Genomic DNA, 24,655 nt, shown 5'->3' on the forward strand with positions numbered 1-24,655 from the left:
AACAGAGCTGGGATTTAAATCCAGGCTGACTGTCTTCCTTGTTTTTAAGTCCTGGACAGCACAGCCTCAATAGTAGCTGAGAGCTTCAGGTCTGTAATCAAATATAGATGACTTATCTTGAAAATAATAATAATATATAATGTTTACGTGGCTTCAGGATAAACTATTTTTTACTTTTCTGGAATTTTATTTTATTTTAGATCTGTAGCATCCAAAACCTAGTATCACACTGGTTGTTTATCCAGGGACCTGGTTACAACTTACTCAGAGCATAATGAAAACAGTGAACATCAGAGAGTGTAGAGATAGAGAAAAGCACTTTGGATAAACGACTCTTCCTTCTTTACTACACAGACCTTTCCTGCTCTCTTCTTTGCTTCATGTGCCGTGTTGCTCATAAAAAAATGTTTCCATAGGACAGAGCAGGAAGCTTGTTTGTGAGCTTGATTTGGGAGCAAGAAAGTATCTTTGAATGGAGACTGGCTAACTGTGCCTGCCCACTGCCCTTCAGGCTGCTGGCAGAGCTCTCAGGAGGGGGACAGGAAGAATGTTAAGGCTGAAGGTGGAGGGTTCTGAAGTTAGGGCAGCTGGCTCAGCTGCCTGAGAGCCCGAACTTCACCTTCAACAGTGCTCTTCCCACCTCCTCCTGAAGATTGAGACATCAACACAGCAGCAAAAATATCCTGGTGATTTGTAATGCAAAGTAATTACTGCTAACAGCATCAACAGGGGATGCAGCTGCTCACAACACAGGCTTCAGGATCAAGGCTTCCAGCCCCAGTTCAGCATAAAATCCAGGATTGGCTACACAACCAACACAACTCAAAGTTGATTGGAGCAGAACCTTCCTTCTCCCCAACAGGTCCTAGGGTTAGCTCCCGAAGAGTTCTGAGCCGTGGCTGGCTGGAGTGCACATGAGAGGTTTTTGCCACATCCCTCTGCCCTTTGATATCCAAACCACATCCCTTTTCTTTGCTCTTATAAGTATAGGTGTTGGCGGAGATTGCTTTTGACTGGGGACATATGTCCTTTCATTTTCAAGTTGCATCCCTTGTACCTGCATGTTGTTCACTTGCTGAGGTCTTGCTTTTCTGTGTTCTTTGTGGGTGCCCAGCAAGGCATCCCAGACCATACTAGGCTGTTGTCTACCACATCAGCCTAGGCGCCCCGAGTCCCAGACCCTACTCTATAGAGGGCTTCCAGGGGACCATTTTTCTCTTGATGCTGTTTCTAACATTTCTCAAATGAGCATGTGTTACTTTTATATAAATTTGGGGGTAGGGAGAGAACACGTTAATCTTTTAAAAAGAAAAAAGTGTTTTTAAGATACATTTTGCCTACTGGTAACACATTTTCTTCTGTCCTAGTTTTTCTTGTGGAGCAGGTGATCTCTGCTTGCATGTGGTTTGCAGAAGTCATAGATACTCTGTCCGCTTTTGAGGAACTAGAGCTGGCTACTGCAGACTTGTAATTGAGAAGACAAACCTGACCTGCACCACCGGTGCTCCCTCAAGAAACAGCACTGAAACTAATAATAATTTTTTAAAAGACGGTTAATGGTACAGAAAAATCATTTAGCAGGAATGAATGAGACGGCCGGGCACGGTGGTTCACGCCTGTATTTCCAGCACTTTGGGAGGCCGAGGCGGGCGGATCATGAGGTCAGGAGATCAAGACCATCCTGGCTAACACAGTGAAACCCCGTCTCTACTTAAAATACAAAAAAAAAAAAAAATTAGCTGGGCGTGGTGGCGGGCGCCTGTAGTCCCAGCTACTCGGGAGGCTGAGGCAGGAGAATGGGGTGAACCCGGGAGTTTGAGCTTGCAGTGAGCCGAGATCGCACCACTGCACTCCAGCCTGAGTGACAAAGCAAGACTGTCTCAAAAAAAAAAAAAAAAAAAATAGAATGAATGAGACCTAGTATTTGCTAGCACAACAGAATGCCTATAGTCAAAAATAATTTAATTGTACTTTTAAAAATAACTAAAAGAGTATAGCTGAAATGTTGTAACACAAAGGATAAATGCTTGAGGTGACAGACACCCCATTTACCCTGATGCGATTATTACACATTGCATGCTGTATCAAAATATCTCATGTAACCCATAAATATATACACCTACTCTGTTGGCACAAAAATTAAAAATGAAAAAAAGAAAGAAAGAGGCCTGACTTATTTGGAGTCGTAGGATTTTTGAAATAGAAAGAAGGTCTTAGACATCATCTTTTGTAACCCATTGCCCTGTAACCTGAGACCCAGGAGTTCCAGAGTGGTTGGAGTGAGATGGTCAAGATCACAAAATAAAGAAGTGACAAAAATAGGGCTGGATCTCAAGTCACCGTTCCCAAGACCAGACCCTTGTCTCTATGCAGTGCCATTTCAGCCTGTTCTCTGCTTTTGTTCTCACCCCTCTGGATCTTATGAGGTTTGTCTTCTTGATTGATTTAGAAAAACACTATCTATTTGACTATCTATTTGACTTCTCTTAGCCATCTTTTGTGGTACCTGAGTCCAGCCAGCTTTCGCTAATCCTCTAGAAAGCAGGACAACTCTCTTTTCTGGATTATCTTACTAAAAGAGAACCAGAAATCCTGTAGTTAGGCCAGAGCTGATTAATTGGAAATGCATGAGCCTGGACTAAAAATAAATGGATTTTAAACTAACCAGATTTAGATTATCCAGTATTTTTTATGGAAGGAGAATAGGCCATCATGTCAACTGAAAAATAGCAGCTGTTTCAAATTATGAGATACTTTGAATAGAGCAATATTGGCTCAGCAAGATTGTACAGTGTTATGGCATTATTTTAAAAAACAGCCTCTTTGCTGTGGCAAATAGCTCCTGCAGTTATGCTGTTTGAAATGTTAATGTATGACTCCTCACATTACTTTCAGAGTTGTTCATTGCTTGGAACCAGTGATTTTAGGTGGCAACTAGAAAAGCAGTTTGTAAATGGTAATAATTATATGATGTTGTTTTGAATGAATGTTGGAAAGACTGGTAGCACAAAGAACTTGAGAGTTACTTTTCATTAACTCCTTAAGTCACAACTATAATTCTTAGTCACGACTAAGGAGAGAAAAAGTCAATTTAAAACTGACTTAAAGAAAATTATTAAATGAGTACTAGGACAGCTGATACAAAGATATAGCCAAAGTGGTGATAGTATCTTGTTAATGTATGAAGTATAAAAACCAAGGCTTTAAGATGAAGCCCAAATTGAGGGTTCAAGGAAGGAACAGGGTAAAACTTGATTTAAAAGCATACAATTGGCAAAAAAAAAGAAAAACGAAAAAAAACCATTTTGATGTCCAAATGAATTCTAATTCCTCTCTAAGAGTTCTCAAGACGATCAGCATCGTACTATTTGGCAGAAAAGACAAACTACTCATTAAATAGTTTTTTGAGCAGATTTATTTATTTAAGGTCTCTCCAGATAAAAGGTGTGACTACCTAGCTTTTCATTTAAGCTAGAGGACCTCTTTCCATTGTGCAGGCAGCACTAACTCACTCCATATTCCTGAAACAGAAAATATGTTTGACTCAGTTGATCGACACATGTATTTGATTTCTTTCCTTTTCTTCTTTTCTTGTGACATCAAAGGTCGTGCTTTGCCTTGTTCTGATTTCACTCTTTGAAACTGTTCCTTTTCACGCACCCTTGATAGAGTAGGAAGAGTTACCAAAGAAAAACACAAACAACAATAAGGAATCATACCAATGCCAATGATGGGGCAATTCAGAAATAGCAGGGGCCTGATCTGTAGGGTGCTTAAACTTCCATGCATGATTTTCATGAAATGCAGCACCTCTAAAGCATAGGACTGGTGGTCAGGGTCTGATAGCTTCGTCTAGAATGAGCATCTAGTGCCAGTCCTTGCAGTCACTTACAAGGAAGGAGGGCACGGAATAGAACATGTTGTAGATGGTTGACCCCTTGCAGTAGGGACTGAGGGATCATGACGGATACATCATGGATGGAAATCCACAAAGTGGAAACCGTTTTTGCTTGCCTTTAAAAGCAAATCTAAAAATATGTTTTCTAGCAGCTGTGTAACTGCAAGGAAAAAAAAAAAAATCTGCTCCACTGCAACACAACTCGCTCACCAGATATCTGCAGGGTTCAGATCTTAATGCTTCAGAAATTTGTTGCAGATTTTACTGTATATATTTAGACCAAGGAGCCTATTAGCTTGCAATCTGAGAGAACCTCTGCATTTTCATGAAAATGAGAAATGTGGCACTGTTGGCAACCTCGGGCTATAATTATGTTAATCTGACCATTTTAAGACTGAAATATGTTGTTTTAAAATGTTTCTGTATTTTTATTATTCGTAACAATGATCTGAAGAAATTTACTGAAATGCTAATAAGTTTCTATTCAGTATCACTTTGAGACTAGAGCACAAAAAATGAGTCAGATGTGGAATTTTGATATTTTTAATTTTGGCACAGAATTTTTATCGACAGATATGTACTCATATACATAGAGTATCTTAATATAAAAACTACCCAAATATAATTTTATATTTTAAATATAGATACAGTGAGTATATGTGCAAAGCTGTCTTGGCAGATATGTGCAATAACAAAACATCTCTACATTTGCATTAAATTCCCAATCTTTGCTCTGCCAAAAATTAATTTTGCGCATTATTACAAGATAAATGTTTTTCTATCAAGAACCATGCTAAAGCACCCAGTTCCCTGTTTTTGATATAAATGTAGGACAGGACTAGAATGGATAATGTAGTTGAAATTCTGAGAGCCTCTAAACACATATCTTGAGCTAATTAGTTCGGCTTCCTCTTCAGCAGCCAAAGCTTGCATTCTGGCCACAGACAAGTAATGACACGGGTGCTCTTTTCATTCACAAAAGAGATGTTCTCCCAGGTGGTAAGATGGGAAGGAAAAGAGAATGATCCAATGCCAAGATGTGGGTAATCACCCATCTCACAGTGATTATAGATAATTGCAATTTGAGTCTATTTGTTGTTGTAACACTACGAAATGAATTGGGAGTCTTTTACATATAGCCTGATCTGGGTTCAGAATGATCAATTAATTTGGGAATAGGAATGAGGAAAAGTACTTTTTGTTTTTTTCTGAGACACGAGTCTCCCTCTGTTGCCCAGGCTGGAGTGCAGTGGTGCAGTGGTTCACTGCAACCTCCGCCTCCCGGGCTCAAGAGATCCTCCCACCTTAGTCCCCCAAGTTGCTGGGACTAAAGGCGTATGCCACCCCACCAGGCTAATTTTTCTATTTTTTGTAGAGGTAGGGTTTCACCATGTTGCCCAGGCTTGTTGCAAACTCCCGAGCTCAAGTGATCCACCAGCCTCGGCCTCCCAAAGTGCTGGGACTACAGGCGTGAGCCACCATGTCCAGCCTGGACCATTTTCTCAAATATGATATCTTTGAAATATAATACAGTATGATGTTCTTACATTGGCTGCATCCAGAGTCCTCATTTTTTGCCAGTTCTTGTATCTCCAAAACGAATGTGTCATTCGTTTCATCCTTCTGTGAATACATTCAAGTGAGTATTTTCCGTTTTATTCATTTTCTTCTGCCTCACAGCTCACTGAGTGGGCCCGTGAATGTTTGCTGATGATATTAATAATCATGCGTGCTCAGTGACACAACAATGATGGAACTCATTAGGTATTCACAGCACCAGAAGAGAAAGTGCAAGAAGGTTTTACTGAAGCAAGTAAGCAGCTGAATCAGGGGCTCAGAGTTCAGTGTCAGGACTACAGTCACAGTTATGAGACCACAGCCAAGAAGAGATTCCCAGCAGGGAAAAACCAAGCCCTTTGAGTCATAATCCAGTGCTCGATCCACCACACCCCACTGCCTTCCTTGAGATGATGGTGTGGAGGAGTACTGATTGATGAGGAGGATTAAACCTTTTTTTTTTTTTTTGAGACAGAGTCTCGCTCTGTCCCCCAGGCTGGAGTGCAATGGTGTGATCTCAGCTCACTGCAACCTCCGCCTCCCAGGTTCAAGTGATTCTCCTGCCTCAGCCTCCCGAGTAGCTGGGATTACAGGCACCTGCCACCAAACCCGGCTAATTTTTGTGTTTTTAGTAGAGTCAGGTTTCACCACGTTGGCCAGGCTGCTCTCGAATTCCTAACCTCAAATGATCCACCTGCCTGGGCCTCCCGAAGTGCTGGGATTACAGGTGTGAGCCACTGTGCCCGGCCAATTAAACCCTTTTTAATTAAAAAAAAAAATTGGAAACTAATTTGTGTACTTCAGTGTGTTGGAGGAAACGTCATCGAAATGGCACCAGTGTCTTGCTGCCTTAATTTTAAGAAATCCCCTTTATTTATTGTCACTTATCTTCTGTCCTCTCTGGGAGAAGTGTTGCTCTAACGTTGCTTTTCTGAAAAGTAAAGATAATGCAAAGATAAAAAGAGTTGGGGAGGTTGGGTTGGGCATTGAGGGAAGATAAGCTACCTTTGGTTCAGCCTGCAGCTTGATTCTTTTTGAAGTGACTTGAAAGCTCTTGGTGCTAATCAAGAACTTTTTGTTTGTTTTTTGTTTTGTGTGTGTGTGTGTGTGTATGTGTGTGTGGGTGGCGGGGTTTGGGGGGAACAGGATCGTATTCTGTCACCCAGGCTGGAGTGCAGTGGTATAATCATAGCTGGAGTGCAGTGGTATAATCATAGCTCACTGCAGCCTTGAACTCCTGGGCTCAAGCCATCCTTCACCTCGGCCTTCAAGTAGCCAGGGTACAGGCATGCACCACCATGCCTGGCTAATTTTTTAAATTTTAATTTTGCAGAGACAGGGCCTTGCTATGTTGCCCAGGCTGGTCTCAAACTCCTGGCTTCTAGCCATCCTCCCGCCTTGGCCTCCCAAAGTGCTAGGTTTATAGGTGTGAGAGCCACTGTGCTCAGCCCTAATCATGAACTTTGAAAAGTGCTCCATAGATTACAAAGCATTTTCTTCACTTGCCTTACATCCTGTGTGGGAAGGAAGTCTTTCCTTCCTGGAGGCAACGGGTAAGAAGAGCAACTAGACAGTGTGTAGCTCCTTACTCTCGGTAGGCATTTCGTCATATGGAGCATGACTTATTGACTTGCTTCTGTTCTTTCTCATGAGCTACTCAGTGTCAGGAGTACAGGGCTTGACTTAAACATAGGGATACTCAAAGGCCCACCTGGCAGTTTGTTGTTGGGACACAGGGAAGCAGATTGTGTCTCTGAAGAGGAGGCTTCTGTCGGTGTCAGAGCCTGGTGGGGAAGAAGGGATTGGTCAATATTTGGCTAAACTCCTTCAGCTGTTGGTGCAGCAAAAGGCATGGCAGGGCGTGGGCAGAGATGCCTGCCAAGCCCGGCCTCAGGGCATGTACAGCTCCCAAACTGGTTGTCTTTGAGGCTGTTATTTATCCAAATAAGGAGAAGCAGTAGTTTTGCTGACCATCTCAGATTTCCAAGCCATGCTCCCTGGCTGGCTGACTGACTTGCTATTTGAACTGAAAACACGAAGGTATTCCTTTGAAATGGAGCAGTCTTGTGGGGCTCGTGAGTACCCTAGAGTCATTACTTGGAAGAAGATTTTTTTTGCTCCCCACATTTGTAGATAACATGAACATGGCTTGGTCTATTTGACCCTTCTCTTGTGACTCTGGCAACACTCAATACAGATGGACCTGATCTGGGACAGAAATAGTACTCATTTTCAGAGGTTCTTGAACCACTGCCCTCCTTTGAAGAGGATTCAAAGGTCAGACCTCCACACTGATTTCTTAACACTAGAATGCAAGATTATTCTAGCACTTCATAGATCCTGGCCCTGTTATCTGACTTCAGGTAAGATATTTGAAGTCTCTGAGCCCCAGTTTGTTCATCTGTGAAATGGGAATTATAATGTATCTAATGGGAATGAGATGAGAATTAAATGAGGTAATTTTGGAAAGCATTGGTAAATAGGAAGTCACCCAAAATATTCATTTTCTTCCCTATTTCCATCTTCTCTTGGCAGATTTAATTGACAATATTTATAATAGAGAAATTCTAGATAATTATGATTGCTGTCCAAAGGATTTAACCAAGCTCACAGTAGAATGGAGATTGTGATGTGAACGTTCAGTGACCCTGCATTACTATGTCCCTCTACTCACTAAAGCAGTGGTTCTCAAAGAGTATTCCCTGAACCAGCAGGTCAGTATCACCTGGGGACTTGTTAGAAATACAGATTCCTCGGCACCACCCGAGACCTACTGAATCAGACACAGTGGATGTTAGACCCAGTAATCTGATTTACTAAACTCTCCAGGTGATTCTGAAGCCCACCATCTGAGAGTTGGAGAACCACTGTCCGAGAGTAACTCACTGGTTGGGTCGGTAGTCTAGCCATTCCCCCAGGGCACCTGGACTTTCCTATCCCTTGTCCTTGACCATGCCTTAGTTCCTGCCTGGAATACCTAAGAAAGGGACCTCTTTCTTACCTGCTGAAATTCTATTCATCATTCATGAACCCACTCTCACCTCTTCAGAAAAGTGTTCCTCAGTCATCCCCACCATAAGAACCTCATTATTCTATGAACTACCAGAGTATTTGTCTGTTGCACTCATTTGACACTTAGCAAAGTTATTCTTGCTTTCTCATATTTTAATGTTCACGTACATGCCTTATTTTTCCTACTAGAATGTAAGTTCTTCAGAGGTAGAAATCATGTCTTACAGATCCCTTTTCCCTCATCAGCCTTAACCCTGGGCTTTGTATATAGGTAGCTACTCTGTAAATATATGGACCCACAGAATCTCATCATTGGAATGGGCCTTAGAGAAAGTCTACATGAGATTTCTTATTTACAGATAAAGAAAGGGATGTTGACCAGGCGTGATGGTTGACGCTTGTAATCCTAGCACTCTGGGAGGCCTAGGCAGGAAGATTTCTTGAGGCAAGGAGTTTGAGGCCAGCCTGGGCAATGTAGTGAGCTCTTAGCTCTACAAAAAAAAAAAATGTTTTTTAATTAGCTGGGGATGGTAGTGTGCACCTATAATCCTACCTATTCAGGAGGCTGAGGTGGGAGGATCACTTGAACCAAGGAATTCAAGGCTTCAGTGAGCTATGATCACACCACTGCACTACAACCTGAGCAACAGAATGAGACCCTGTCTCTTTAAAACTAAAAAAAGTGAAAAGAAAGAAAACAATGTTAACACCTGGACCAAAATGCTAGTTCCGGGACTCCCCATTTGGTGTTCTTCCCCCATCACCCTGCTGTGCCGACTGCGGAGAAACATACCTGGGGGCTTTCAGAGCCACTGGCCTGGCCCCAAAACTAGCAGGTGTTCTCATGTTCTCTGCCACAGACTTCAACTAAACCCAAGGAAAGCAGATGGGTTTTCAAAGCTATACTCATTTAATTTATAAACCTGGAACCTCTTACATTTTTTCATAACTAATGAAAACTGGGAAAGTACAAAATTTTCATTCATAAGCCTATAAAATTGTATAACAAATGGCATCAATTCCTAGCCTTACACGTGAGAATTTCCCCAGCTCACACACTCCGTATACTTAGGATACCCATGGAACTTCTTTTATTTTTGAATAAAAGTTCACAGTGAAGATCATTCACAGTGGAGCAGGCGGCTCTTCTGAACCCAGGAAGAATGGGCATGAGGGCTTTTTTAATCTAGGTCCCCATCATTGTTTTTTTCATGTTTATTTTGAGGAAAAATTGAACCTGGCAGATCTGTGAATTACTGTCTTTCGGTGTTACCCTCTGGGACTATTCCCTCAGACAATCCTTTCTTCTCTTGACACATGGGCTGATGTTGTTTGGCTGAGGATCAAAATAATGGCACAACTAAAACACCTTTCATCAGAAGTCATCCATAACATACCCTTTAAAATTTGCTCCACAGACACAGCTCACTTTATGCTGTATGTTTTTTCTTTTGCTTGGTAATAGAACCTACACATATCCTACTGAGATCAATATGAACACAGCAGAATGCAGGCAATGGAATGTGTTTCCTGTAGACGGGCTAAGACGGTAACCCAGGTCCACAGAGTTGGTTTCAGAAAAGCTATAATCAAAGAAGGAGGAACAGTGAAGGTAGACATGAGACAGGCCTGAAGGGGTTAAACCTACTAGGGAGCAATTGGTAGTAAGAAGCTGAGACCACATGAGGCTGTGAGAAAGGAGTTATTACAGAAACAGACATCCTGGGATTTGAGTAGCTCCATTGTGAGAAGACATTGACAGACCACGAATAAATGGCCATATGGTTTCCAAGTTGACATCTGCCATTCCCCAATGTGTTTACCACCATTTTCTCTCACGGGCTCTGAAAACCATCTATCCTTTACACTGCAATTGTATAGTGTGAAATTCTACATAGATCAACATCAATTCATTGTTTCAGTTTAGGTATATCATATCATCAAACTAAAATATATATACATTTTAATTTTCATGCTGTAATCATCCTAAAGTTATATAACACTCCATCTAGCTGTTTTCATATCTGTCCTTTAAACTGCAATTGTAGAGCATAACATTCTTTTTTTGTTTTTGTTTTTGTTTTGTTTTGTTTTGTTTTGGTGGTGGGGAGACAGAGTCTTGCTCTGTTGCCCAGGCTGGAGTACAGCTGCATAATCTTGGCTCACTGCAGCCTCCATCTCCCAGGTTCCAGCAATTCTCCTGCCTCAGCCTCCCAAGTAGCTGGGATTACAGGTGTGTGCTACCATGACTGGCTAGTTTTTTGTACTTTTAGTAGAGATGGGGTTTCACCATGTTGTCCAGGCTGGTCTCAAACTCCTGGCCTCAGGTGATCCGCCCACCTTGGCCTCCCACAGTGCTGGGATTACAGGTGTGAGCTACTGCACCCGGCTGTATAGCATAAAATTCTACACAGATCAACATCACCTCATTGTGTAAATTTAGGTATGTTATATCATCAAACTAAAATACATATATACATTTTAATTCTCACGTTGTTGTAATCATCCTAAAGTTATATAATGCTCTACCTAGCTATTTTTGTTCACGATATAATCAATTTGGTCAGTTTCTCCAGTGAAAAGAAAGAAGAGCATAGAGTGCAGCGATGGAGACCCTGTGCCTCTGTGGGTGGTGCATGCATCTCTGAGGGGCATGGTCCTGAGAATGTCACCCCATAATGGAATTAGGGTTGTAATGGTAAGGGATTTTAATCAGCTAAGGCTCAGATATTTTATTTCATAAGTAATCCGGTGCCTGTGACTGATGATGACTTTGTGCATGCTTCTGTGTGTACATATATGTATATGTATACATATGTATAACTTGTGATATGGTGATATCCATATAGTACTGAGTGATGTATAATATCGATAGGTATATATAAGTATAATATATATAAGCATATATACTGATATATCTATTAAATATAACTAATATATAACTAATTATATAACTTACTCATTTTGAGGCAAGTAGATAAAACCTAATTGTAAGTCAAGAGAGGCTCTAAATCATTCGAGCCGAAGCCCAGTGAGATGCCCCAGTGATTCTTTTCCTTTGCTGTGAAAATCTGGACCTGTGAATGGAGTGAGGTACTTCTCAACAGACTTGTTCATGTTTCACACCATGGCCAGAAATCGAATAAGGAATCCATCAGTGATCACGCGTGGGCAGGCATGAGGAACATCGTTCTTTGCAGAATAGCTTGCAGTGTCCTGAAGTGCACAGCAGGTCACACGCAAACAACCGAGGAAGCTGGGGTTCTTGCTGCCTCACTGCTTAGCAGCTATGGGAAGCTGGGTGAGGTTCTTAACTCCCTGCACTTCTGTTTCCCAACTATTCAAAAAGACATAAGACACCTGTTCTATGTCTTTCACTGAGTTCTGGAGCCCATGAAATGTCACAATTGAGAGCCCTTTGTAAACTGCAAACTGCTATGTGATTATTGGAGTGTTTGTGGGTGGGGTATGGTGAGCACGGGGATTTAAAATCTCTTGTTAGAATATGAAGTGTCACAAGCAAATAAAGCAGTATATCCTATATGGCAACATGTGGTTGACAAGTTACATAGTAGTTTCAAGAACTGTCATAAAGAGAAAAATAAAGTCTAAGGCGCTAAAAAGTTGTAGTTGGGTGCCGCAGATAACTTACTAGCATCCAATCTAGAAAACATTAAAAGGGAGCTGTGCATAAAAGAACAAGGTTCGTCCAGGAAATGGGTGGATGTGCAGAGATGGAGATAAGAGAAGGAATTATTTGTACCATCTGTTGCAAGTGGCATAAAAAAGATATCATTTTACAAACTGTAACTATTTTTGGTACAAAAGGAGGTTGTCCTTGGCCTGGGGAACATGGGAGTAGCCCAGCAGAAGATTGAGTGTCAGTGAGAAGGACATTTTTCTTTTATCCATCCTACAGCACTGCACAATTATTGATTGTGGCTTGGAAGCGAAATGATTTATTTAACATTACTTCTCTATTCTGCTCCAGATTGAGATCTTTAATCACTGTTGGACCCAGGACTGGTCAGCCAGGTCTGGCCACTGGAGGGCTCAGTAGAGTTCCTCTGTCAAAAGATTTATAGAAATAACGCTCATCTTAAATATAGCCATAAGCTAACCGCTGACTGGACCATCTCTTTCCTGGGAATTAAATAATTTTGGCAGCAGTCTGTCTGTCTGTCTGTCTCATGTCTGGGAGACATTCCGTTTACAATCAAATGAAACAATAGGCTAACTAAAACCTTACAAATGGCAATCTTCCCAATTTTACCAATGCAAACAAGATGAATTTGAAATTTTTTCAACGTAATAATCCCTTCCCTTCCTAATATCATCTTCATATCTATAGGCACAGTTCAGATTTTCTTTGAGCAAATGTAATTTTTTTAAAGCCAATGAAGAAATGAATATGAAAGGGAAAATAGGAATGAATATGTGTCACAATACTATTGGCCTTGCCAGAGCATAAAAATTACTTCCTGTTGAGGTAATCCTGAATATTTCCTAGCACGTCCATTCTTAACACTGACTCAGAAAGAATACATTGCTTCCACTTTGCTTTTAGGCCTAGTCAATGAAAGGAAGAGGGAAAATGAAGAGTGGGACACTTTATACACTGCTGGGAAGAGGAACGTAGTAATGGCTGTAATGTCCCAAGGTAGAGAAGGCAGAGAAGGATCTGGTGATGTAATCAAACCAAAGCGTGGGGGTGTTAGTGGTTGCACACACTCATACTGAACCAAACTTTATGGTGAGTTAGCCTGAAAGAGCCCTTCTCTGGAGAATGTGCCTTCCACTGAGATAAAGCCACTGGGTCCTAGATGGCACCAGGATATTGTTTAGGAAATTGGCTTGTCTGGTTCATTAGCAGGTACTCTGGGGCCTTTGGAGATTGAACTCCACCTCTCTTGGGTGAGCTTGGCGCTTGCTAAAGAGCATTTAACTCATCCTGATTCACCGCAGGATTGGGCTGGCTTTCAAACTCCTGACAGTGAATTACTGCTCTTGTAATGACGAATCCATGCATGCATGCTACAGACAGTGCCCTGGAGCATTTTGAAAGTGAAAGGAAATTGCTGTGAACCTGGCAGGAAGGAAGAGAAGGGAGAGGTAAACTAGACTTCTTCTCGCATTGAACCGACCGACTCTCATTGTAACAGGGTCAACAGAAGCCACCTCTCTCTAGCGTAATGGACATGGTTTCTTGTGGTTTTACCCTTTGTTGCTTTTTTTTGGAGCCAGGGTCTCACTCTGTCACCCAGGCTGGAGCGCAATGGTGTGATCTTGGCTCACTGTAGCCTCTCAACCTCTCAGGCTCAAGTGATCCTCCCACCTCAGCCTCCCAAGTAGCTGGGAACACAGGCATGCACCAGCATGCCCAGCTAAGTTTTTACTTTTTGTATAGGCTGGGCCTCCCTATGTTGCCCAAGCTGGTCTCAAACTCCTGGGCTCAGGGGATCCTCCTGCTTCCACATCCCAAAGTGCTAGGATTACAGGCGTGAGCCACATAGCACCTAGCCCATAGCAGATATGGGATAACATGTCGAACATGGCATGACTTGCTTAGCCAAGCAGCAGAGAGACAGAGAGTTCACTGTTTGTTTCCTGGGGGACAGCCTGGCCCCAGACCCTTCACATACAGTCACTGGGACAAGCAACCCTGCCCATAATAAGCAGGTAAAGAAGAATTATAAGAGCCATGTCTGTTAGCACACCTCACGCCATAAGACAGGGTCTTTGGAGGATGTGATAGGGGCGGCATCGTGGCCTAATCAGACAAGGGGGACCACTCCTCCATCCCCCTTCCTGGAAAGTACGTGCTTGACTGAAGACACAAAACAAAACCTGCCTAATGTATACCAGATTCATCAGAAGCTGATAGTGTGTGCCTCCCATACTCTGGTGAGAAATAACAAACCCTTGCTGATTAGATTAAAAGTCAAGAGCTTCCACATTCCTTCTACTGTTTTCCGACCTCTTAGGTGGCATCTGTTACAACCACTTCATCCAAATATTTTTCCTAGTGAGACATCTTAGGAGGGTGGCAATGTCACGTGCTCCATTTGCCCCCTTCTTTAATAACCACAAAGTGATTTGATGGCAGTAAACAGTTTTTTTAGAAAGCCTGCAAAGGACTGGATTTGAACTTGAAAGACGTCATGGAATTCTTTTGGTCAGCAAGAACAACCTCTAAAAGCCTTAAAATGTTTTAAAAATGCACAGGCTGCCCAGAGCGTGGTAGTTGGGTGTGGCGTGAAGCCAGTGGGGCTTCCAGCCCAGTGAGTGGAGTTCCTTGTCACCGTATTCCCACTTGGATAGCTTTCGGTTCCACCCAGTCCCCAAGGGCTCAGAAAACATGATGGTAATCAGAGCCTGCCTGGGAGCGCAGGAGATGCTTCCTTTCTCCCCCACCTTTTGCTAGCAATGCATTAATGCCAGTCCTCCGCTGAGAGCTGCACAAGTCACTTCGTGTTGTGGACACGCACCTTCTTGTACCTGTTCCCCTGGAAGATACCAGCTGTGCTGACAGCGGTTGTAGCCAGAGGTCTCTGGGGATCGCCTACCTTCTCGTCCTTCATCTTGTTTAGGGTGGGGCAGAAGGGCTCTGGTTTCCTTTCCAGAATCCCCTCTGCACAGCCCTGGTTTGCCCTCTCTATCTTTCCTTCTCGTTTCAGATGTATTTTCCAGGGTGATTGCAGTTCCTTGCCCGGCGCTATGTAGGACTGATTAATGGCTGCTACCCAAAGTTCAGCGTGGTAAAACAGGGCTGGTTAATTAATAGACAGCCTCCTTATCTCCCTCATGTTTTCCCTCTGGTGTTAAACCAGGAGAAGAGGCTTACGTTTCCTTCAGCTGCCAATTCCCAGACTTCAAAAGTCTGGCAGCAAAGTGGGTATTGGGTGCTGGTCTAGGTTTTTGCAGTAGCACCTTTAAGTCAACAGAAAACTGATCTGAAAGTTGGCTCCTCTGGATTGAGTATGTTGGGTTTTTTGACAGTTTCATTTCTCGGTGGCTGGTTGTTTGCCCTTTCTAATGATCCTGTTTGCCTTCAGCGAAATATATTTTGTAATATTTCCTTTGCTGTTAACCCATTTACCTAGGCCGTTTAAAGTTCCTTCATTGGTGTTTTCCCTGTAAGCAGTTGTTGAAGGACTGAGTCACCCGTGAGGTAGCCTGTGGTTGGATGTGGGCTGAGGTTATTCAGTGACTAATTTCCAAGGGGAGGAGAAATTGACTTATCACGGGGAAGGTTACTTTTTATCCATGCCAGTGTCAGCTTCTCTCCGAAAACTGGGTAATACGAAATGGTCTTTATTGGTTGTGAACACTCGAGCTGAGAAACATTTTAGGATCTTTGTGTCTTTTGTGATGATTTTGTTTCTGAAGAGGAAGCTGTCTAAAATATTCAAGTGTGCAACCAAGGATTTAGATGAAGCCAGCAAACAAAGGAATCATGTAATCAGGACCTGAGCGAATGTGCTTACTCACGGCGTTAGTTACACAGGTGATTTCCTTAAGAAAAAGTAAGTGGCTTTAATTCTTTGAGGGTGAAAGAGTGTCTTAAGATTCCATTTCAGTTTTCTCTGCTTACTTCATTGTGTGGTCTGATTGAGTGGTATGTTTACAAATTCTAGACTTGGAAGGGTGGGGTTTGAAATACAACAAACTGTACATAATATTCCTTTTCCACAAGCAATATATATATATATAAATGCTCCACAGACATGATTACATGAGGCAGTTTCCCAAGATGATTTTAAACAAATATTTTTTATACTAGGTTTTTTTTTTCTGGAAACAATTTTAATATGTTGTTTCTTATCTTACGTTCAAGAAACTTCTGAATGAGTGATATTCGATTTGACTTATGGTTCTTTTGGGAAATAATATATAGCTACATGTAAGAATTTCTAACTCAGACTTCAGATCTTAATTTGAAATGGCCCCAGATATTTTCTGGTGTTTCAGAAGTATGGTGTAAACAGCATTTTGATCCGTGTGCAGTCTGTGGGCAGGGACACCTGCCTGTCAGCCTGCTATTATGATGAGGCTCTTGAAGAAACTACCCTCTTTCTAAGAACTGGAAGAACTCAAATAATGAAGAGACAATAGAGGTTTGGGCAGTAATGGAAAGAAGAAAAGACAGTGCCTAGCCAAGCAGATGAATGAGGTAGAACAGTCTTGTTCATACATTGCCATTATATCTAGTGCAGTTGAATGAACATTTTCTGTGTCTGGGCTTAGGTGCAGGCAAATAGTTATCTGTGTTGTATTCAGATAAGGGGTTAGAAGAATCTTTATTTTTCTGTGTCGGTCATCTCTTTCTTGCTGTAAAATGAAATTGTTTAAAGCTTACATTATGACATTAGTGTTGAAATTCTGTGGGGAAAAAGTGTCAATGGTACAACATAGCTAGTTACTTAAACTCACTAAGGGAAAAGAGATGATAAGATTAGTAGCATCAGAGAGATCAGTGGCAGAATAAGGGACTGGGATATATTAATGTGAATGGCAACTCGTATGTGTGTATGTGTATGTGTGTGTGTATGTGTGTGTGTGTGTGTGTGTGTGTTGCTTATTTATTTTCTTTGTAAGTTTAGTATAATTTTCTCCCACAAGGTCTGACTTTGAGTACCAGCGCAGGAAAAACCCAGTATGTATTTAATGCCATGTCTTTACTCATTAGCCAAATAACAGTTAAAAACCAAAACAAAATAAATCTGTGTTGGTGACAGATTCTAGGAAGATCTCTCCTTAGTAAGAATACCCGCAGCAAAGGCTGGGTTTGTTTTAAACTGTGAATTATACAATCTTAACCATCATGCTGCTTCCATCTATCAGATTCTGGAGTCTCTAAATTCTACTTTTTATTGCAAGTGTGACCTTGGAAATCACATTGAAGACTTGAAAACATCCCTCCAGTGATGTCCCCTTACCTTCCCCCACATCCTAAGAGCGAGTTGCCTTAGGTTGGTCCCTGTCTTTTATGGTAGGATTCCCAAGTTGTCTGATCGTAAGGGTTCATTCTAGTTGTGGTTTTAAAACAAATGTTTCCCACTCTATATTGGGATCATTGTGTCATTTTTCTTCTTGGGCTCTGTTTAGAGCCAAGGATGAAATACATGATCCTGGTTCTTTTTAAAACTCCGTCTTAGAAAGTCAGTCACAGCTTGGCAAACCAACATAAGAATTCTGCCAAGACTTCCAACATCTAAGTCACCTGTGTTGATAGAGACATTCAACCTCAGATTACCAATTCTGTCACAACCGAATGTTTGTATTCAGCGCCACTGTGGATAACTCAGATTGATGGTGACTCTTTCGGTGACCCTTTTGGATGATGGCAAGATTATTTTGAAGTGGACAGGGCAGGGAAGACACACAGGATTAGCTCCAGATCCGGGCTGCTGACTGTTCATGGCAAGCAGCCGTCCTCATTGGCTGAGGTCCCATTCTGGTTGGTTGGTGTCCATGCCATACTGGATATTAGCTGTAAAATATTTCGACTATCACTGGTGTTTCCCACATGAATGCCCAATACAATGTATCAGAATTACTTTTAGTTAATTGTTATATTTCTTTCTAATCTCATCTATACATACCACTAGTAAATCTATTGAGATATTCTAGTTAGATCTTTAAATGTTTCATTTTAAAGGTTATTTATATATCTCCTAACCATTTTTTGCATGTCACCAAGCATGTTTTTAAAATACCTATGTAAATACCTTTGCTGTTTTCAAAGAAATGTACTCAACTTTTTATGAATTTAAATAAATTTTACATTTTCTTTTTACTAATATTATTTATCCTTCTGGACAGTTCTATACTCTCTAGAATATTTTATTTTATTTTATTTTACTTTATTTTATTGGAGACAGAGAGTCTTGCTGTGTCGCCCAGGTTGGAGTACTGTGGTGTATTCTTGGCTCACTGCAACCTCCGCCTCCCAGGCTCAAGCAATTCGTGTGCCTCAGCCTCCTGAGTAGCTGGATTACAGGCGCATGCACTGCGCCTGGCTAATTTTTGTATTTTTTTATAGAGACAGGGTTTTGCCATGTTGCCCAAGCTGGTCTCAAACTCCTGGCCTCAAGTGATCCGCCCACCTCAGCCTCCCAAAATGTTGGGATTATAGGCGTGAACCACTGCACCGAGACCCTAGAATCTTAATGTCCCTTTTTACACTCCTGCCAAAAAGAGGAAAGCTTCTGCTGGTTAATTGGGATCGTAGTCCCCCAGATAAAGATGTACTCTGAAGGTGGCTAAGGAAGGAAAAGAGAACAGGGAATAGTGACTGACCTAGTTAGGACTGTTGTTCATACCAAGAGGGTTCTAGATATTATATTGATTGATTGATTGATTGAGACAGAGTCTCACTTTGTCACCCAGGCTGGAGTGCAGTGGTATTATCTCGGCTCACTGCAACCTCCACCTCCCGGGTTCAAGCAATTCTCCTGCCTCAGCCTCCCGAGTAGCTAGGACTACAGGTGCATGCCACCATGCCCAGCTAATTTTTGTATTATTAGTAGAGAGGGGGTTTTGCCACGTTGGCCAGGCTGGTCTCGAACTCCTGACCTCAAGTGATCCGCCTGCCTCGGCCTCCCAAAGTGCTGGGATTACAGGCCTGAGCCACTGTGCCCAGGCAGTTCTACATATTTTAAATATTTTTCTGGAATTAATAACAATAATGACAACAGTACCTACCATTTGTTGTATGTGATTTGCCTTGGACACTGTGTAATGCTTTATAAACAGTGGCATATTTGAGTCGATGTGATGAATTTATCTCGATGTTTGTTTTGGTTGGTTATTGCATTGTGTAATCTGATTATGTGGAGAATTTGCCCACATATCCGCTGCTCGCTGAGCCAGTCCCTCCTGTATTTTATGACCTGTGAAGCCCTGTGCTGCTTCCTGCTGAGCCATACTTTGCTTTTTATTGAGCCCTGAATTGTGAAGGCAGAGTGAGAGAGGTATTTATAGAGGATCCGTGTCGCTCTCCTGCAAAACCTGTGTCACGCGGTTGCCCAGCCTCCCTGGAATGAGCATCAGTCAGGTGTATTATCATGCAATGACCTTGGGACTGTTCCTTCTGGTCTAAAGCACTGAGCACCTGAGTCATGAGGGTGTCCAATGAGCAGGGAGGTCCTCATGGGCTGGAGCATCAGGGCAGGGGCCATGCAGAGCAGACGCACCTGGAGCCTGACCTCGAACCTTCATATGGATCCCCAAGAACTAGCACATGGGGAGAGAGACCCTGGAGTGAGGACAGCATCAGGATATCACAAGTTAGGTTTAGAGAAGGGAGAACAGATTAGCCTATCATAATGGGAGCTCTGTGTGTGTTTTGGGAGGGGAGTAGAGAGGAAGTGGAGATAAAATTGTAATTGTGAGGGAGGAGCCTGCATACTCCAGGGGGCCCAGAAATAGCCCCTATAGGAGCCAAGAGGCCAATTCCGTGGTGCCCAGGTCATGTATTCAAAAAGGGCTCCCTTTTGTTGCTACATATTAGCACCTTATTTGCACTTCTCATTGGTCACTTTCATTATGAAATCCACTTGTCTATGTAAAACTTGCAGGGCAGGGATTCTACACCGCTGGATCCTTCCAGGAGCAAGATAAGGAAGCCATGGGAGTCCCACTGGTTGTTCCTGCATTCTTATCTACGAAGTTTAAGAAAGAAGGTGCCCTCTCCATGGCGCTTGGGAGTTTCCATGGAACTTGGGGGCTTCTTTAGAACTGTATCCTAGAATAACCCCAGGCACTTACCAAGTGCTTGGTAAATACTCTTTACTACATGCAGTGAATTTTTGTGATAAAGAAGCAGTTAGTTTGTATCCTGTGCATTAGGCTCTGTTTCATTTTCAACCTTCTCCTGGTGCCTCTACTATCCCTACTGTCTTCCACATCATCCACATCATGGGGTCTCTTGGCTGCTCATCTTGGTTCTTGCCATTCAAGCCCCCACCTCTTTCCTCGGGTCCCTCCCTCATCCACCCTCCAACCATTTATACCCTTCTTCTCTGTCACATCTCCTGGAAGTCAGGATAGGGACTGTGGGCTCCTGTGACCTCACCAATAGAACTTGAAGAATGGATGGAGCCTGTCTCTCCTTCCCTCAGTTATTTGGAGAATCTCAGTGGTCATTTCCCCACTGCACCTTGACCAAAGCAAAAATATATGAAATCATCATATCCTGAGTTATTTTTTTTTTTATTCTACTCCCTTGCTAAACACAGTAACATAGTTGCAAATTACAGTTGACCATTGAACAAGGTGGGAGTTAGGGATGCTAAGTCCCCCACACACAGTAAAAAAAAAAATCAGTGTAGAGGCCAGGTGCAGTGGCTCATGCCTATAATCCCAGCACTGTGGGAGGCCGAGGCAGGCAGATCACCTGAGGTCAGGAGTTCAAGACTAGCCGGGCCAACATGGAGAAACCCCGTCTCTACTAAAAATGCAAAAATTAGCTGGGTGTGGTGGCACATGCCTGTAATCCCAGCTATTTGGGAGGCTGAGGTAGGAGAATCACTTGAACCCAGGAGGTGGAGATTGCAGTGACTGAGCTGAGATTGCGCCACTGCACTCCAGCCTGGGAGACAGAGCAAGACTCCATCTCAAAAAAAAAAAAAAAAAAAAAAAATCTGTGTAGAACTTTTACCTCCCCGCAAACTTAACTACTCACAGCCTACTGTTGACCAGAACACTTACAGATGACTTGAATGGTCGATTAACGCATAGCTTGAATGTTATATATATTATATACTGTATTCACATAATCAAGTAAGCTAGAGAAAAGCAAATGTTCTTAAGTAAACCATAAGGAAGAAAAAAATGTGTTTCCTTTCTATTAAGTGGAAGTGGATCATCATAAAGGTCTTCATCCTCGTCAACTTCATGTTGAATAGGTGAGAAGGAGGAAGAGAAGGGCTTGGCCTTGCTCTCTCAGGAGTGGCAGGGGAGGGAGGATATCTGTGTATCAGTCAACCTGCACAGTTCAAAGCTGTGTTCTTCAAGGGTCCACTGCCATTGTACTCTTATTGCTTAATTATTTCCTTCCAGCCTCTCCATGCTGATTTCTCATAGGCTCAAATGAAGAGTTGGTGAATGAATGAAACTTCCCTTCCAGGTTTTCCCCCATGCATCTCCTTTCCCCCTGCTCATCTCCCTAGATTGTATCCACTTTGAAAGATGGGAAACATGGTTACTATTTCCCAGGGCTAACAGTAGAAAAACGTGCTCAGGACAAGTTTTAGAAGACTCAGCGTGAGCACTATTGATACACTAGACCTGCATTTATTAAGCAGCATCTCTAAGAAGCTGTGACATTAAAATTTAAGCCACCACACTATTTTTTCCTGAAATCCCACAAAATTGCACTCTCCATCAGGTGTATTCATTTCTTGTGGTTGCTGTAACAAATTACCATAAATTTAGTGGCTTAAAACGTCATGATTTTTTTAAACACCATAGGTGTATCATTTTACTTTTATGGAGATCAGAAGTCCTTAATGGATTTTGCACATCAATATCAATGTGTCGGCAGGGTCATCCTCCCTCTGGAGGCTCCAGAGTGGGATCCATTTCCTCACCTTTTCCAGCTTCTAGCAGCTGCCCACATTCCTTGGCTCATGGCCCCTTCTCATAGCACCTTCCAAACTCTTCTAACCCTACTTCCATCAGCATAGATCTCCCCTGGAGCTGATTTCCCTGCCTCCTTCCTCCGCATATAAAGACCCTTGTGATTGCCTTGAGTTCACCAGGATAAAGATCTCCCATCTCACCATCCTCAACTTCACCCCATCTGCAAAGTCTCTTTTGCCATGTAAGGAAACATATTCACAGATTCCAGGATGAGGGTGTATACATCTTGCAGGGGAAGTCACACGGTTACACACTGAGACTTCTCTTGAAACACGAATATCAAAGTCAACTTTCTGATCCCTTGTTTTCTTTTCAGATGCAGAGAGAACTTGTTTATGCAAGAGGAGATGGCCCTGGGGCCCCTCGCCCCGGATCTACTGCTCATCCACCCCATGCGATTCCAAATTCCCCACCGTCTACTCCAGTGCCCCATTCCATGCCCCCCTCCCCGTCCAGAATTCCTTATGGGGGCACCCGCTCCATGGTTGTTCCTGGCAATGCCACCATCCCCAGGGACAGAATCTCCAGCCTGCCAGTCTCCAGACCCATCTCTCCAAGCCCAAGCGCCATTTTAGAAAGAAGAGATGTCAAGCCTGATGAAGACATGAGTGGCAAAAACATTGCAATGTACAGAAATGAGGGTTTCTATGCTGATCCTTACCTTTATCACGAGGGACGGATGAGCATAGCCTCATCCCATGGTGGACACCCACTGGATGTCCCCGACCACATCATTGCATATCACCGCACCGCCATCCGGTCAGCGAGTGCTTATTGTAACCCCTCAATGCAAGCGGAAATGCATATGGAACAATCACTGTACAGACAGAAATCAAGGAAATATCCGGATAGCCATTTGCCTACACTGGGCTCCAAAACACCCCCTGCCTCTCCTCACAGAGTCAGTGACCTGAGGATGATAGACATGCACGCTCACTATAATGCCCACGGCCCCCCTCACACCATGCAGCCAGACCGGGCCTCTCCGAGCCGCCAGGCCTTTAAAAAGGAGCCAGGCACCTTGGTGTATATAGAAAAGCCACGGAGCGCTGCAGGATTATCCAGCCTTGTAGACCTCGGCCCTCCTCTAATGGAGAAGCAAGTTTTTGCCTACAGCACGGCGACAATACCCAAAGACAGAGAGACCAGGTAAGGTGCAGTGAGGGTGACCGAGGGTGGTACCTGGGCCCATGTGTCACTGTGGGCAGCTCTACAGGGGTCAAACCGACAGAATAAATGTCTGAGCACCCATCTCTGCAGCATGTCCTGTGGATGCTGCAGGAGTCACAGAGTGGTGTCAAAGCCACCATTGTCTGCAAATAGTTTCTAAATTGGCAGGGGTTACAGTCATTAAGCCATGTTCAAGAAGACAGGTGCAGCAACAATAGTAATCAGTCCCTTGTGCCTCTGGAGCATGGATCTAAGAGCATTATCATTTGTATAAATCTGAATAATTTGGAAGAAAATTGTCATTAGCAGAAGACAGATGAAAAGATCAAAAGGTCATAATAATTGATCTGCTACTGCTGAAAATAAGGAGTGAGTGTTTTCAGTTTTAACTGTTGGAAATGGCAGTTTGTGTTTTTCCTTGTGGAATACAATTTTGTTTTCTCATCTGGTTGTGGGAAGTGGAAATAATGTGTCTGTTTTCTAGGAGGATAAACATCTGAATTTGCATGAAAATAGAATGGCTTAGATTTAATATTTATCTAGGAGTGGTGCTGAAATCAGCAAAATTTTTCCAGGGAAAGACTCTCTGGGGACTTGAATTTCTTTTTAAATAGACATATTTTATAATTTACCAATTCAGAAGCTTCCTACTCTATCTTGAAAACCTTCCAAAGTTCATATAGTAATAGAAAAGCTAATTTTGATAAAGGGAATTTCTCTAGCCTGAATTGGTTGAAACAAGTCAACATAATAATCATAAAAATCTAGCCAAAGAAATTGAGTCCAAAGAAGGTTTAAGCATGCTGCTACCTATTGTTATATATGAATCAAGGGGTATGAAAAATAAGATGTCCAGGCCAAGTGCAGTGGCTTACGCCTGTAATCCCAGCACTTTGGGAGGCTGAGGCAGGTGGATCACCTGAGCTCAGGAGTTCTAGACAAGCCTGGCCAACATGGTGAAAATCCATCTCTATTAAAAATACAAAAATTAGTCGGGTGTGGTGGCAGGTGCCTGTAATCTCAGCTACTCGGGAGGCTGAGGCAGGAGAATCACTTGAACCTGGGAGGTGGAGGTTGCAGTGAGCCAAGATCGCACCATCACACTCCAGCCTGGGGGACAAGAGCAAGACTTCATCTCAAAAGAAAAAAGAAAAATAAGGTGTCTAGATATTCAGTTATTCAATACCTTATTAGAACCACTGCTTCTCACTAAAAAATGTTAATATCACTTACTATTATATACCATGTAAAAAGAAGGCCAAAATTGTGAATGGAATGTGACCTGTCTACCTTACTGTTTTCACACACAAGTCAGAAAGCCCTGAAGTCCTCTTTAGCACAGTTTTATTATGAAAGGGCAATCCCTTCTTA

The 24,655-nt window shown here is 42.6% G+C and overlaps 1 protein-coding gene and 1 long non-coding RNA gene across 57 annotated transcripts in view, besides 1 other annotated feature; one reads left to right on the forward strand and one right to left on the reverse strand.

The window, feature by feature from the left end:
- KIAA1217 overlaps positions 1 to 24,655 on the forward strand; it is an 853,117-nt gene that overhangs the window by 756,071 nt on the left and 72,391 nt on the right. For 41 of the 54 annotated variants that reach the window (NM_001098500.3, NM_019590.5, XM_047425513.1 and 38 more), the window contains one exon: positions 22,431 to 23,263. In NM_001098500.3, coding sequence (NP_001091970.1) covers positions 22,431 to 23,263 — 833 coding nt within the window. Of the gene's footprint in view, positions 1 to 15,733; positions 15,994 to 22,430; positions 23,264 to 24,655 lie in introns of those variants that run through there. The other 13 variants (XM_017016423.1, XM_047425525.1, XM_047425512.1 and 10 more) reach the window with 1 other exon arrangement.
- LOC105376455 (uncharacterized) lies at positions 3,398 to 15,589 on the reverse strand. 3 transcript variants are annotated; one of them, XR_930755.4, is made up of 3 exons: positions 14,956 to 15,589; positions 7,167 to 7,239; positions 3,398 to 6,386 (listed from the first exon to the last, which is right to left on the reverse strand). It is a non-coding gene; the product is annotated as an uncharacterized LOC105376455 (long non-coding RNA). The 3 variants fall into 3 exon arrangements; XR_007062087.1 differs by having other exon boundaries at positions 11,427 to 15,589; XR_007062088.1 differs by having other exon boundaries at positions 3,398 to 7,239.
- Positions 11,671 to 12,172: an enhancer, noted in NCBI's record as "H3K4me1 hESC enhancer chr10:24751397-24751898 (GRCh37/hg19 assembly coordinates)". NCBI's record gives its function as "activates a minimal SCP1, AML or CMV promoter by ChIP-STARR-seq in naive H9 embryonic stem cells {active_cell/tissue: H9 hESC(naive)}" and the evidence as "EXISTENCE:reporter gene assay evidence [ECO:0000049][PMID:30033119]".

The sequence above is a fragment of the Homo sapiens genome, chromosome 10 (genome assembly GCF_000001405.40).
Source record: "Homo sapiens chromosome 10, GRCh38.p14 Primary Assembly".
Taxonomy (NCBI): domain Eukaryota; kingdom Metazoa; phylum Chordata; class Mammalia; order Primates; family Hominidae; genus Homo; species Homo sapiens.